At 40.6% G+C, this 14,071-nt stretch overlaps 1 protein-coding gene across 49 annotated transcripts in view, besides 1 other annotated feature; it reads right to left on the reverse strand.

Moving 5' to 3' along the window:
* Positions 1 to 14,071, reverse strand: part of CPLANE1 (ciliogenesis and planar polarity effector complex subunit 1) — a 173,708-nt gene that overhangs the window by 35,341 nt on the left and 124,296 nt on the right. For 48 of the 49 annotated variants that reach the window (XM_047417575.1, XM_047417572.1, XM_047417573.1 and 45 more), the window contains 4 exons: positions 11,421 to 11,479; positions 10,608 to 10,775; positions 9,207 to 9,331; positions 3,951 to 4,040 (listed from right to left, as the gene is read on the reverse strand). In XM_047417575.1, coding sequence (XP_047273531.1) covers positions 3,951 to 4,040; positions 9,207 to 9,331; positions 10,608 to 10,775; positions 11,421 to 11,479 — 442 coding nt within the window. Of the gene's footprint in view, positions 1 to 3,950; positions 4,041 to 9,206; positions 9,332 to 10,607; positions 11,096 to 11,420; positions 11,480 to 14,071 lie in introns of those variants that run through there. The other variant, XM_047417577.1, reaches the window with a different exon arrangement.
* Positions 1,446 to 1,495: a silencer, noted in NCBI's record as "silent region_15977". NCBI's record gives its function as "represses an Ori minimal core promoter by ATAC-STARR-seq in GM12878 lymphoblastoid cells {active_cell/tissue: GM12878}" and the evidence as "EXISTENCE:reporter gene assay evidence [ECO:0000049][PMID:35858748]".

Consider the following 14,071-nt stretch of genomic DNA (forward strand, 5'->3'; position numbering starts at 1 on the left):
TGTTAGCCAGGATGGTCTCAATCTCCTGACCTCGTGATCCGCCTGCCTCAGCCTCCCAAAGTGCTGGGATTACAGGCGTGAGCCACCACGCCCGGCCAATGTATTAACTTTCTATTCTTTTTTTGTTTTGAGACAGAGTCTCGCTCTGTCACTCAGGCTGGAGTGCAGTGGCATGATCTCGGCTCACTGCAAGCTCCACCTCCCGGGTTCACACCATTCTCCTGCCTCAGCCTCCCGAGTAGCTGGGACTACAGGCGCCCACCACCATGCCTAGCTAATTTTTTTTTTGTATTTTTAGTAGAGACGGGGTTTCACGGTGTTAGCCAGGATGGTCTTGATCTCCTGACCTCATGATCCGCCCGCCTCGGCCTCCCAAAGTGCTGGGATTGTACAGGCGTGAGCCACCGTGCCCGGCCTAACTTTCTATAGGGTGAAGGAAGAATAATACTTAGAGGGCCCTTTAAGATCATCTTCATATCTATAAGTAAAATATGAATAGATCTATTAATTTGGATCCCCAAAGTGGCAGCTTTCCAAAAGCTTCTTCCTGGATTAGTGCCAAAGGGAAGGGTGCAGTGGTACAGACAGCTTAGGGATTTTTCTTTTGACTAGCCCCAAGAGTCTGAAAAAGAAACAAAGCTAACATCATTTGGTAGCACCTGCCACTGTAATATCCAATGTGAGAGCTATGCTCTAGTTGAAAAGGTTTGACATTTTTTCTGCTACTTAAAGACATCACAGAGTATTTTGAAATGCCACTGAAAGTTCCATGTTAAAATAATTATTTCAGTAAATATTAATAAGGAACAAATTTTGAAAAACCATATAAAGGAAAAAATCTACGAGCAGATGACAGGAATGCATATGTGAACAAACACTGTGTTAAAAAAAAAACAGCCGTTAAAACAGAAAAAGTGAGACTGAAAGAGAAACCAATGAGTGGTTAAGCAACATAACCACAAGAGTAGGCTTCCACTTCAAAGTAGATGGGAACAAGTGGAGGTGGGGTGCTGAAGTTATTCCTTCAAGTATTCACGATATGACTAGAGATCAACAAAGGCTACAAACATCAACTAATCCCAAACTCATCTTGGCTACAATTAATTTGGCATCTAGACATCGACATTCTTGTTTTGTCCAAATGAACATAATTATTGTCATCTAGAAAGAATGACAAATCAAACCACCACCTACTCTGCTAAAATTACAGTTAAGAGTCTTGCATTTTAGGATAAATCTTCACCTATGGGGTATTACAAACCTTGAGAGGCTATCACTGGGTTTCTCTCACCTTACTTTACCTAGAGATGGCTTTGTAATTTCCTTCCTTTCAGATCATAATGCATTTTTCCAGGGTTTATCTGGGATATCCAATTTGAGATAAAAATATAATGAGAAAAGTTCTGTGAAACTGAGCATGCATAAGACTTTTCAAGGTAAAGTGTACCTGCCCCACTGGACAGTGAAAGCTTTCTGAAGTGAAAGGTAAGTTATAGATCAAGAAGACACCCCACAGCAGAAACCAGGCTGCCAAGTACACTGGCTTCCCTCAGAAAGGAAGTACTCTTTCTCTAGGACGGTGGGCACTGACACTCAGTTTCTTTATAACATAACACCAAACAGTGTCTACAGAGTCTAGCCTGAGAAATCTGAAACTGGATGATAAAACTAAACCTATTACCTCCATCATTCCCAAAGAAAATCCTGCTTCTTTTCCTGCTCTACTTGTGTCAATTTGTGAGTCACAGTCTAGCTAAGCACTTAAGCTAGAAACTTGGAGTCATACACATTTCTAACTTTCAGAGGCAGGGTTACCATTGAACAATGAAACAAATACCTACAGCTTTCTATGGGCAAGGCCTCATGTTAGATTATAATGACTTCAAGAACACAAAACCCTGGATCTCCGGGACTTTCAAAAACAAAACAATATAACGGTACATGTAATTTCAACTGTTTTTAGAGGTAACATTGTATTTGGGGAGCATTTTATCTGTTGAACTAGACATTGCTAGATATTTGCTTTGAAAAGAATAAAAAGCTATTGAGTACTCTAGACTAGAAAACAATTCATAATGGGTAAAAAGGAAAGTCTTTGAAAGAGAGAAAAGCTGGCATGGGATTTAGAAGCTGGTACGGTTTGGCTGTGTCCCCAACCAAATCTCATCTTGAATTGTAGCTCCCATAATTCCCACGTGCTGTGGGAGGGACCAGGTGGGAGGTAATTGAATCATGGGGGCAGTTACCTTCATGCTGCTGGTCTTGTGATAGTGAGTTCTCATGAGATCTGATAGTTTTATAAAGGGGAGTTCCCCTGAATACACTCTTTTGCCTGCCACCATGTAAGACTTGCCTTTGCTTCTCCTTTGCCTTTTACCATGATTGTGAGGCCTCCACAGCCATGTGAAACTGTGAGTCCATTAAACTTCTTTCCTTTTAAATTACCCAGTTTCAGGTATGTGTTAGCAGCATGAGAACAGACTAATACACAAGCACAGGAAATGATGCTTCGAGGATTCAAAGTGATCCAAACGACCAGAAGCTTGGGTTTTAACGCATACATGGGGGAAAGAGTAGAAAAAGTACCCAATAGATCTTCTAGAAAATACCGCCATAGACATTAAAAAGTTGATAAATGAGTTAAACAATGGATTAGACATAGGTAAAAAGAGATGGGGTAAACTGAATGACGGATCTACAAAGTAATGAGTTAGCAGTAGAGAAAGAGGCATAATACCAAGCCTAGGCTAATTACTTCATATTTCTCATCATTTTTCACAGTACATATAAACTAGTGGGGTTTTTTTGTTTTGTTTTGTTTTGAGACAGAGTCTCACTCTGTCGCCAGGCTGGAGTGCAGTGGTGCAATTTCGGCTCACTGCAACCTCCGCCTGCTGGGTTCAAGTGATTCTCCTGCCTCAGCCTCCCAAGTAGCTGGGACTACAGGCACATGCCACCACGCCCAGCTAATTTTTGTATTTTTAGTAGAGATGGGGTTTCACCGTGTTGGCCAGGATGGTCTCAATTTCTTGGCCTCGTGATCCAACCACCACGACCTCCCAAAGTGCTAGGATTATAGGTGTGAGCCACCGCGCCCAGCCAAATTAGTGGGTTTTTAAAAAATCATTATCCCTACCAAATTTAATTATTTTCTTTCAATGGGGATAACTGCACAGATTTTGTTGGATTTAATGTGAGGATCAAGTGAGATAATGCACATGAGGTGTGAACACAATGCCTGGCATAGAGTAAGTGCTCTATACCTGTTAGCTACTATTGTTATTGTTTTAAGGAGATCTGAACAGGTCATTTAACTTCTCTAAGTCTGTTCTCATAGTAAGACATGGATAATAGTTACCCTGTTTACCTACCAAGGTCGTTACATATATCCTCACTATTATAACTTGTATTTTCCAGGTGAGAAAATTAAGAATACATAAATGGGTTAGAAATTTGCGTAAGGTTACAGAGTAAGTGGTTAACTTGATTCCATAAAGCTACTCCAAAACTTCTTCTCTGAACCACTGCAGCGCAGAGCCACACCCTTCATTCTGAAGTCTATATTTGAAATGGAGTGATTTATAATTTTTTTAAAATTTAGTATTAAGGGCCAGGCACAGTGGCTCATGCCTGTAATCACAGGACTTTGGGAGGCTAAGATGGGCGGATCACCTTAGGTCAGGAGTTCAAGACCAGCCTGGCCAACATGGCAAAACCCCATCTCTACGAAAAATACAAAAATTAACCGGGCGCGGTGGTGGGCACCTGTAATCCCAGCTACTGGGAAGCCTGAGGCAGGAGAATCACTTGAACCCGGGAGTGGAGGTTACAGTGAGCCGACATTGCACCACTGCACTCCAGACTGGGCAACAGAGTGAGACTCTGTCTCAAAAAAAAAAAAAAGAAAATTCAGTATTAAGTCTAAAAACTTTATCTTCTTTATCCCTTACCTTTTTGGAAGGTAACTGGAGACTGCGTAGCCTTTCTTACTGCTGCTTTGGCTCCACCAGCTTTTTTCTGTATGGTGAAAGTGGCAGTTCCTATACAGAGAGACAAACATTATTAGCCTTCCATAGACATCCATGATTTTTATATATATTGTGAGTTATTTGAGGACAGACACCTTGGTGATCAGCTTTGAATCTGCTCACCAAGCCCTGTTCACAGTAGGGGCCCAGTAAATGGTGGCTGGTTTGAACCAAGGTGGCAAAACTTAAGTGCAGACAAAGAAAGGGAATACTTTGCTTTGACACCTGGTATCCTTCAAGCACAGCCATACTCTTTTTTCAAATGGCAAATGTGTTTTGACATCTCTGGCAACTGGAAAAGCTAGGGACATAATAAGCCTCTTAGCAGTAAACACCTAGACAAAATGCCAAGTTAAATTTTATCAACCGAATGATTAGTTTCTTAAACTCAAAGATTAATAACAACCATTTACTTCCATGTTATGCAATATCTCTTATTAATATAATCCTCAACAACTCTATGAGGTAGGTTTCAAATAACTTATCTGAGGGCAAAAATCAGCAGCAGAGCTGGGATATAAACCTAAGTTTAGAGGATTTAAAACTTAGACTTTTATTTCTTTTTTTTTTTTTTTTTTGAGATGGAGTCTCACTCTGTCACCAGGCTGCAGTACAGTGGCGTGATCTCCACTCACTGCAACCTCCACCTCCCAGGGTCAAATGATTCCCCTGCCTCAGCTTCCCGAGCAGCTGGGACTACAGGCACACACCACCATGCCTGGCTACTTTTTTTTATTTTTAGTAGAGACGGGGTTTCACCATGTTGGCCAGGATGGTCTTGATCATCTGACATGATCCGCCCACCTCAGCCTCCCAAAGTGCTGGGATTACAGGCGTGAGCCACCATGCCCGGCCGACTTTTACTTTTTTATGCCTAAGATGCCTCTCAGTTACTAATCATATAATCTTTGTATTGTAGTTGACAGAACTAAACATAAAACAAGCAACAATAACACAAACTACTCCTGGCCAGGCATGGTGGCTTACGCCTGTAATTCTTGCACTTTGGGAGGCCAACATGGGAAGATTGCTTGAGCCCAGGAGTTTGAGAACAGCCTGAGCAACATGGCAAGACTCCGTCTCTACGAAAAAATTTAAAAATTACCCAGGTGTGGTGGTGCACACCTGTAGTCCCAGCTATTCAAGAGGCTGAGATGTCTCACACTACCAGGCACGGTGGCTCACACCTGTAATCCCATCACTCTGGGAGGCCAAAGCTGGCGGATCACTTGAGGCCAAGAGTTTGTGACCAGCCTGGCCAACATGGTGAAACCCTGTCTCTACTAAAAAATACAAAAATTAGTTGGGCACGGTGGTGCAAGCCTGTAGTCCCCGTTACTCCGAAGGCTGAGGCAGGAGAATTGCTTGAACCTAAAGGACAGAGGTTGAAGTGAGGTGAGATCACGCCACTGCACTCCAGTCTGGGTGACAGAGCAAGACTCTGCCTCAAAAAAAAAAAAAAAAAAAAAAAAAAAAAAGGCTGAAGTGGGAAGATGATCTGAGCCAGGGAGGTCAAGGTTGCAGTGAGCCATGATCACGCCACTGCACTCCCTTCTGGGCGACAGAATGAGTTCCTGTGTCCAAAAAAAAAAAATTTCCTAACAGTATGGAAGCAGGGCTGAAGAAATTAGCCAAAAACTACATACTGCTTTACAAGATAGAAAGCAACATAGAGTCAAACTCCCAAGCATATTCAGAAAAACTCTTCATTTACGAATGAACTACAGTGAATTTGAAAATCTTGATGGAGCCTCACCTCCCCACATGTGCAATGACTGAACTTGACCTATGTGAGTTCAGGTTATCTGTATCACTGACTAGGAAAAGGTCTGGAATCAGTCTTGCCTGGATTTCCCTCCATTCTCCCAAACACTGGGGGACCTGAAACTTCTGAATGTAGCCAGGTGAAATGGTTGGGTCTGGGTGTGACAGAGGCCACAAGAACAAGGGGAGCCACAGCCTGTTCTACTGAGGCAGAGAAGTTAGAATATCCACAAGCACTCAAGCTGCCTCTTTTATCTTTGCCTTAAAAGACAGGACAATAGCCAGGCATATGGTATTATTCTCTGACATGGTATAAATACTATAATACCCGCCTATTAATATCCTTGAACAATAATTTGTTTATAAATAGCTATGCTTAGGCAAAAAGCTCAATAACCATTTTTTCCATTTATCCATTTGTTCAATGTTCGAGTATTTCATCTGTTCAACATGAGGGGTAATAGGAAGATGAGCAAGGGAATACTGCTGCAAAGCATTTAATCTAGTATGGGGCATGAAGTTTACAGGTAACAACAACAGGACACCTGTTGTAGTGCTTCAAGAGGGACATAAACATGTGGTTAAGGGTTCAAAGGACAGAAAAATAACTGCTTTAGCCACCATTATCTCTAATTTTCATAGCAACCATGCAGATTAAATATTAGCCTCAATTTAGAAATGAGAATGTAGAATATTAAATTGATTATATCAGCGTGGATGAACTAAAGAATTACAATTAGGAATGTCTTCAGACACACAGAAGTGAGACATTCAAGGTATAAAGGAGCACAAATCATGGCATGTGGTTGGAAAACAAGCTGCTGAGCAGCACAGGTTCTATGGGGAAAGGAGGTCAAGGAAGCAGGAAAACACACAGATGATGCCTTGAAGGCCAAGCAGAGGGTCTAGACGTTTCTGTGTGGGTATAAGTGTTGCTGAGGGCTTCTGAGCCCAGGAGTAGCAGGAGCACCTCCTCAAGCATAATCCAGCAAGGGCAGGTGAGATTAACGGAAAGACGGGCTAAGGCCATAGCAACCGTCAAAGCACAAGGTAAAAATAAAGACTTGAAATTGAACACATATAACAGGAGGACATATTTCCATATAATTCAAGACTTTTTCATCAGATGTTAAGAAACCATGGCTCAGGTTTTTAAAACCTTGACAATTTTAGATATGTATTTAATTCTGGCAAATATATCAGGTACAAAATAAGTTTTTTTATATAAGCATGTTTCACTATTTTGAAATTTCAGTTTTAAAAGAGCAGTATTTTCTTACTGTAATTTGTCAATCAAAAAAGCCAAGAGCTGGTCAGGCATGATAGCTCACACCTGTAATCCCGGCACTTTGGGAGGCTGAGGTGGGTAGATGCTTGAGCTCAGGAGTTCAAGACCAGCCTGGGCAACACAGCAAGACCCCCCATCTCTACAAAAAATGAACAAATAAACAAAAATTAGCTGGGCATGGTGGCACACGCCTATAATCACAGCTACTCGGGAGGCTGAGGTGGGAGATGGCTCTTGAGCCTAGGAGGCAAAGGTTGCAGTGAGCCAAGATCATGGCACAGCACTCCAGACTGGGCAACACACTGTGTCTCAAAAAAAAAAAAAAAAAGGCCAAGAGCTAACCAAACCACGAAGGGTTTCATCTAAAGAATTGGGATTTATGGAAATTTCAATTTTCTAAATTGAGGCAGCATACTGAAGTGTTGGTTCTATGTGTGTAGGCTCTAGACCCACCCTCGGATTAAATCTTGGCTCTACCACTTCCTAGTTGTATGATCTTGGGCAATTATTTAAGCTTTCTCTGACTTGGTTTCCTTGTCTTTAAAGTGGGAACATAATAGCACCTATCTCACAGGGTTGTAATTAAAGAACGTAAACAGAACCTGCCACATAATTAGTTGTTATTTTACTTTTTTTTTTTTTTCAGACAGAGTCTCACTCTGTCGCCAAGCTGGAGTGCAGTGGTGCGATCTCAGCTCACTGCAACCTCCGCCTCCTGGGTTCAAGCAATTCTCCTGCCTCAGCCTCCAGAGTAGCTGGGACTACAGGCGCACACCACCACGCCCAGCTAATTTTAGTATTTTCAGTAGAGACGGGGTTTCACCATGTTGGCCAAGATGGTCTCAATCTCTTGACCTTGTGATCTGCCCACCTCGGCCTCCCAAAGTGCTGGGATTACAGGCGTGAGCCACCGCGCCGGGCCTATTTTACATTTTTAAATGTATACATTTATACTACATGTCAGCTATTATAATACGTTGTTAATATATAAATATGTTACAAATAACTATGTTTTACTTAAGTAATCAAAACTCAAATATGGCACAATTAAAGAAAGGTGTAAATAATGGACATATCTTGAAATGGGAAAATAATTTTCAAAGGATAAAAACATGACATTATTTCAATCTGAGCTTCTTAGCATTCCTATTCTGTGATGTATTCATCCTGCAATCTATCAGAACTTGATTTGTTCAAATGCCTATATCTTTAGCCAGATATACAAAAGAAACAGACTCCCAAAAAAGTTATACCCTACTAATACCCTGATTGTTCAATGTTATTAAAAAAAAGCCATTCGGCTGGGTGTGGTGGCTCATGCCTGTAATCCCAGCACTTTGGGAGGCCAAGGTGGGCAGATCACCTGAGGTCGGGAGTTCGAGACCAGCCTCACCAACATGGAGAAACCCCATCTCTTCTAAAAATACAAAATTAGCCAGGTATGGTGATGCATACCTATAATCCCAGCTATTTGGGAGGCTGAGGCAGGAGAATCACTTGAACCTGGGAGGCAGAGGTTGCGGTGAGCCAAGGTCACACCATTGGCACTCCAGCCTGGGCAACAAGAGTGAAACTCCGTCTCAAAAAAATTAAAAATTAAAAAAAGCCATTCAAGGCCGGGCGTGGTGGCTCACGCCTGTAATCCCAGCACTTTGGGAGGCCGGGGCGGGTGGATCACCAGGTCAGGAGATCAAGACCATCCTGGCTAACACAATGAAACCCCGTCTCTACTAAAAAAATACAAAAAATTAGCCGGGCGTGGTGGTGGGCGCCTGTAATCCCAGGTACTTGGGAGGCTGAGGCAGGAGAATGGCATGAACCTGGGAGGCAGAGCTTGCAGTGAGCCAAGATCTCGCCACTGCACTCCAGCCTGGGTGACAGAGCGAGACTCTGCCTCAAAAAGAAAAAGAAAAAAAAAGCCATTCATTTAGGAAGATTCCTAGGGCCTTACTTCAAAGCAGAAAAAAAAAAAATTACAGCTAAGTCTTTATCAATGCCTCGCCTTCTGTTCAAATCAGAACTCCTTTTTACTAAGACTTATACCTTTTACTAATGAAAACACAACTTTGGAGACAAGAAGGAATAGGTCCAAATCAGACAATTTATAAAAAAGCTTTAAGTCTTACCATGTGGCCAAGGTGAGCCTTGAGGTTGCCCAAAAGACTTCCTCTTATGGATATAACTCGGTTTGGACATATATTTGACTTTTCCAGGTCGATTTATTAGAAAACTGTGACCATGTTGATTCTCTCTATAGTAGAAATCACATAATTATTACATTCCCAGAATCTCATATCAGCGATAAACTTTAACATTTCAAAAAGCCCAAATTAAGCTGGGCACAGTAGTGCAAGCCTATAGCCCCAGCTACTGGCGAGGGTGGGACAGGAGGATCACTGGAACCCAGAGAGTCGAGGCTGTGGTGTGCCATGATTGCACCTGTGAATGCCACTGCACTCCAGCCTGGGTGACAGAGCAAGACCCTGTTACTTTAAGGAAAAAACAGACCAAAATATAGCTCAGATTATATTCACTTGATACTGCCTAGTCTGTACCTCAGTGATGCACTTAACATATAACTCTCAACAAATTATTCTTTGTATCTCATACCTCAAACCTCATTTTTTTTCACAAAACTTTTTTGTGGTTATCTCACTCTCCATTTCAAATTCTCCATATATTGGGCAGTTATATATGTATTTAATCCCTGCTTTATTCTAGAAAAGTCTCAACGGGAATCTTTGGTATTTGAAGTAAACTCTACACTACACACACAGATGATCTGATTACATCTGGGTTTGTGTTGGTAGTATCTCCTCTAGGCTCTTAAATTATGTGATTATGTTTACAATTCTAATAATTTATTTTGTCAAATGTGTTGATGCTTAACAACACTGTACTCCAATTCATGTTCACCCTATGATCACCAACAGATATTAATAGAACTTTGCATGTTTGTTGACCATATATAAGAAATTTTATACTTGGGTAGTTTTCTTCAGCATTCTATGTTTAGTTAATTCCTGCCTAATTAACTCATATATAACCCCTCTGCAGGTGATTAAAGTAAAATACATAATAGTAGCTACAGCTGAATGAGCATAACTGGGCAGGTCTGGGGCGGGTAGCAGAAAGGGAAGTGGTAAGCAGCTGGGGACTGGCTGTTTCTGAAAGAGAGAAGATGACACATGGGAAAATAGGATGAGCAGTTAGAAGGCAAATTATGGAGGCAAATATTAACAACAACTAAATAAAACAGGACTGCACAGATACCAAATTTCATACTTCTGGAATACCTAAATGCTCTGTAAGCTTAGTGAGAAATATAACACAATTTTTGCCTTTTTCCTTGGTGATTCTATCAATGTATAAAGACCTCATGATTATGAGGCTACTTTTTTCCTTTATCATCATAACTCTAAGCAGGGTAAATGCAAATGCACTGAACTTAGGTCACGAAAGTGCTACATTTCTTCTTATCAGGCCTGACGTTATCTTGCCAAATGGCATGTGAAACCTTGTCTTACCCTCTTGGAGAAGGGCAGTGTTGACAACTGGAAGACTGAGTAGGGCTGGGTTTGTTAGGCAATGGTTTCTGTGGTAGAGTTGGTAGCTGTACTGACTCAGATAACAGTTCATTCATCAGACCGTACGCTTGTGAGATTCGACGACTATAGTGTTCAGAGAGCAGCAATCTGTAGACAAAGAATTAAGCATCATTTATTAAGAGTCACTTTCAGTTCATCTATCCAGAGGGAATATAGTGTTTGAAGATCACCTAGCATGTTCTGGTTTTTTTTTTTTTTTGAGACGGAGTTTCACTCTTGTCACCCAGGCTGGATTGCAATGGCGTGATCTCGGCTCACTGCAACCTCCGCCTCCCGAGTTCAAGCAATTCTCCTGCCTCAGGCTCCCGAGTAGCTGGGATTACAGGCGCCTGGCCACCATGCCCGGCTAATTTCACTTAGCATTTTCTTTCTTCAGCACTTCTAACATCCTTCTATTCATCAGATTTCTGAAAATGATTAGGCAGTATTATTAAAGGTACTTGTAGTTATGGTCTCTGGAGTATTTCCCAAATGCATGTAAATATCTGGGTTGGGAAAGGGAGAACAGCAGAAATAAAAGTCATAAAAACTGAATGAAACACATAATATTTGAAAGCAAATTTGAAAAAAGGCTAGTGAGTCTCATCATTTTCCTTGCAGTGATAACTCCCATAATTCTCTGTTTATTGACAAAAAAGAGACTATTGTGAAAACAGAATTCCTAAGGCATTAATCTATGCCTCAGCTAAGGAAGTTAGAGAGAAAACACAGGGTTACAGCTACCAAACTCACCTGTCTTTTTCATGCTTCATCTTTTGTCTCAGCCTTATTTCCCTTGAAGTCATGTAAAGCTGCATAAAAAATACCCAGTTGGTTCATTATTGTTCAATCCAAATAATTAAACCATTACACATAATTCTGTTATTTAGGAAACAGTACAAAACACTGTCGTGTTTGATGAAGCTTCCTACTCTAGCATAAAACATAAAAATGTTAAATTAAAACATCATGTAATTAAAGTAAAAACCAATTTAGGGAGGCTGCGGCGGGCGGATCACCTGAGGTCAGGAGTTCATGACCAGCCTGGCCAACATGGTGAAACCTCGTCTCTACTAAAAATACAAAAATTAGCTGGGCATGTGGCACACACCTGTAATCTCAGCTACCTGGGAGGCGGAGGCTGCAGTGAGCTGAGATAGCGCCACTGCACTCCAGCCTGGGCAACAGAGCAAGGCTCCGTTTCAAAAAAATAAATAAATAAATAAAAATAATAAACCAATTTAATAAATGGAAGGCAAAATCTATTTTACTAGTTCAATTAATATATTTTATTGAATTAATTAGGAGAGAACCTTATTTGGCTGCACTAAAAATGGAAAGTAGGAACATTTTAGGTGGAAGCACCTATGCTTTGTACTCAATCCTGTAATTAACCTCACCAAGAGCTTGTTAATAAAGCAGAAATTAGACATTTAAAATTATCATTTTTATGTTTTAAAATGTTTATCAGAAACCTACTACAGTGAATTGACTGTGACTCATAAACTCTTCAAGTTATACACCAGAAGGCAAACAACAAATGTCAGACACATACGTATTATTCCAGAACATTAAGAACTATTGGTGTGAGTTACATGTGAGGTTCTTTTCACACACAATTATGTATATAAAAATGGACACTCAGAAGTAAATTCACTTTTTCAAGGTCCTGTGGAGAAGTTGTCACTAGCAAATTAAAGGTCTTGTTGATTTCTAATAGAAATTCAAATGAAAATTTTAATTACATTAACACCTCACTAATCCCATCCCTTTACCCAAATAGAAGTTAAAAAACAAAACAAAAAAAGTGTTTGCAATCTTGAATGAGACCACAAAATCTATAAACCAAGCAGTTCTTAAACCCTTAGAGTTTACTTATTTTGAGACAAGAGTGCACTCTGTTGCCCAGGCAGGAGTGCAGGGGCATGATCTTCTCAACTGGGCACAAGTGATCTTCTTACCTTGAGTAGTTAGGACTACAGGCATGTGCCACCACATCTGGCTAAATTTTCATTTTCTTATTTTTTTTTGTAGAGACAAGGTCTCACTATGTTGCCTAGGCTGGTCTTGAACTCCTGGCCTCAGGTGATCCTCCTATCATGGGCTCCCAAAGTGCTGGGATTACAGACATGAGCCACTATTCCTAGCCAATTTATTCTAAATTTGGACACAATTCTAACAATCTTGGGTATTTACTTCACTGACAGCGAGAAGGTAATGTCAGAACCCATTCTACATTAGGCTAGGGGAACATACACACACACACACACACACACACACACACACACAGTCTCTCTCAAACACACATGCACACACTTTAAGATTCTGGTCAGGTACCTCAGTAGCCCTGAAGGTCACTACCATGTCTCCTGGGCTATCAAGAAAACGTTACGTTAACACCAATATGCTCTTTTCAGAGACAGGTAAGTAAATTGCACACTTTAAACAATAGTTCACCTACTTTTGCACCATTTGGCGTTTTAATGGAACAGTTTATCTGAAAAATTCACCTAAAGAATTTGTTATCCTAATGATGCTGAAAAAAATGAAGGGATATTGTATTTTATTTCAGATTACAAAGTAAAAGATAAACTGTAATCTAAACTGTAATCTAAATGTAATTTTCATAGTAATGTGACTATCAAAGTAATAGTGCTTTGTTTTACCATCTGAAGAAAAATATACCTGACCTAGCCTGGTTATGTCTGTATTTAGGGCTCAGTAAATAAATGCTGAGTTTTAAAAACAGTTAAAAAAACAAAAACCACACACACAGAACTGACATTGTTCTGTTGATACATGACTGGACAATAATTTTTTTTGTATTCTTTGTAGGTAACTTATGAACAGAAAATTGAAGGGTTTTTTATTTGTTAGCTTTTGCTTTATTTGTAGACACAGGGTCGCCCTTTGTCTCCCAGGCTGGAGTGCAGTGGTGTGATCATAGCTCAATACAGTCTCAAACTTCTGGGCTCAAATGATCCTCCTGCCTCAGCCTCTAGAGTAGCTGGGACTACAGGTGTGTGCTACCACACCTGGCTAATTTTTTTTTTTCTTTTGTAGAGATGAGATCTCATGATATTGCCCAGGATGCTCTCAACTCTTGGTCACAAGTGATCCTCTCACTTTGGTCTCCCAAAGTTTTCTAAGCAAATAAATTTTATAAACTAAGTAAGGGAGCAGGCATAGAAGAGTGAGTTTTTAAAATGGCTTTAATACACATAGTTGGTTGTCGCAACTGCCAATGACTCTCATTGAAAATTAAAGGAAGAACTCCAATTGGTCACCCAATCACTCAACCTCCTCCTCTTGTTAAAATGCTATAGCCATCATTAGCCTGGGGGACAAGAAAATATTTAAGATAATTCAGTATAACTTGGTTAGCACAATATGCTGCAACATTT

Source organism: Homo sapiens, chromosome 5 (assembly GCF_000001405.40).
Source record: "Homo sapiens chromosome 5, GRCh38.p14 Primary Assembly".
NCBI classification, from domain to species: Eukaryota; Metazoa; Chordata; class Mammalia; order Primates; family Hominidae; genus Homo; species Homo sapiens.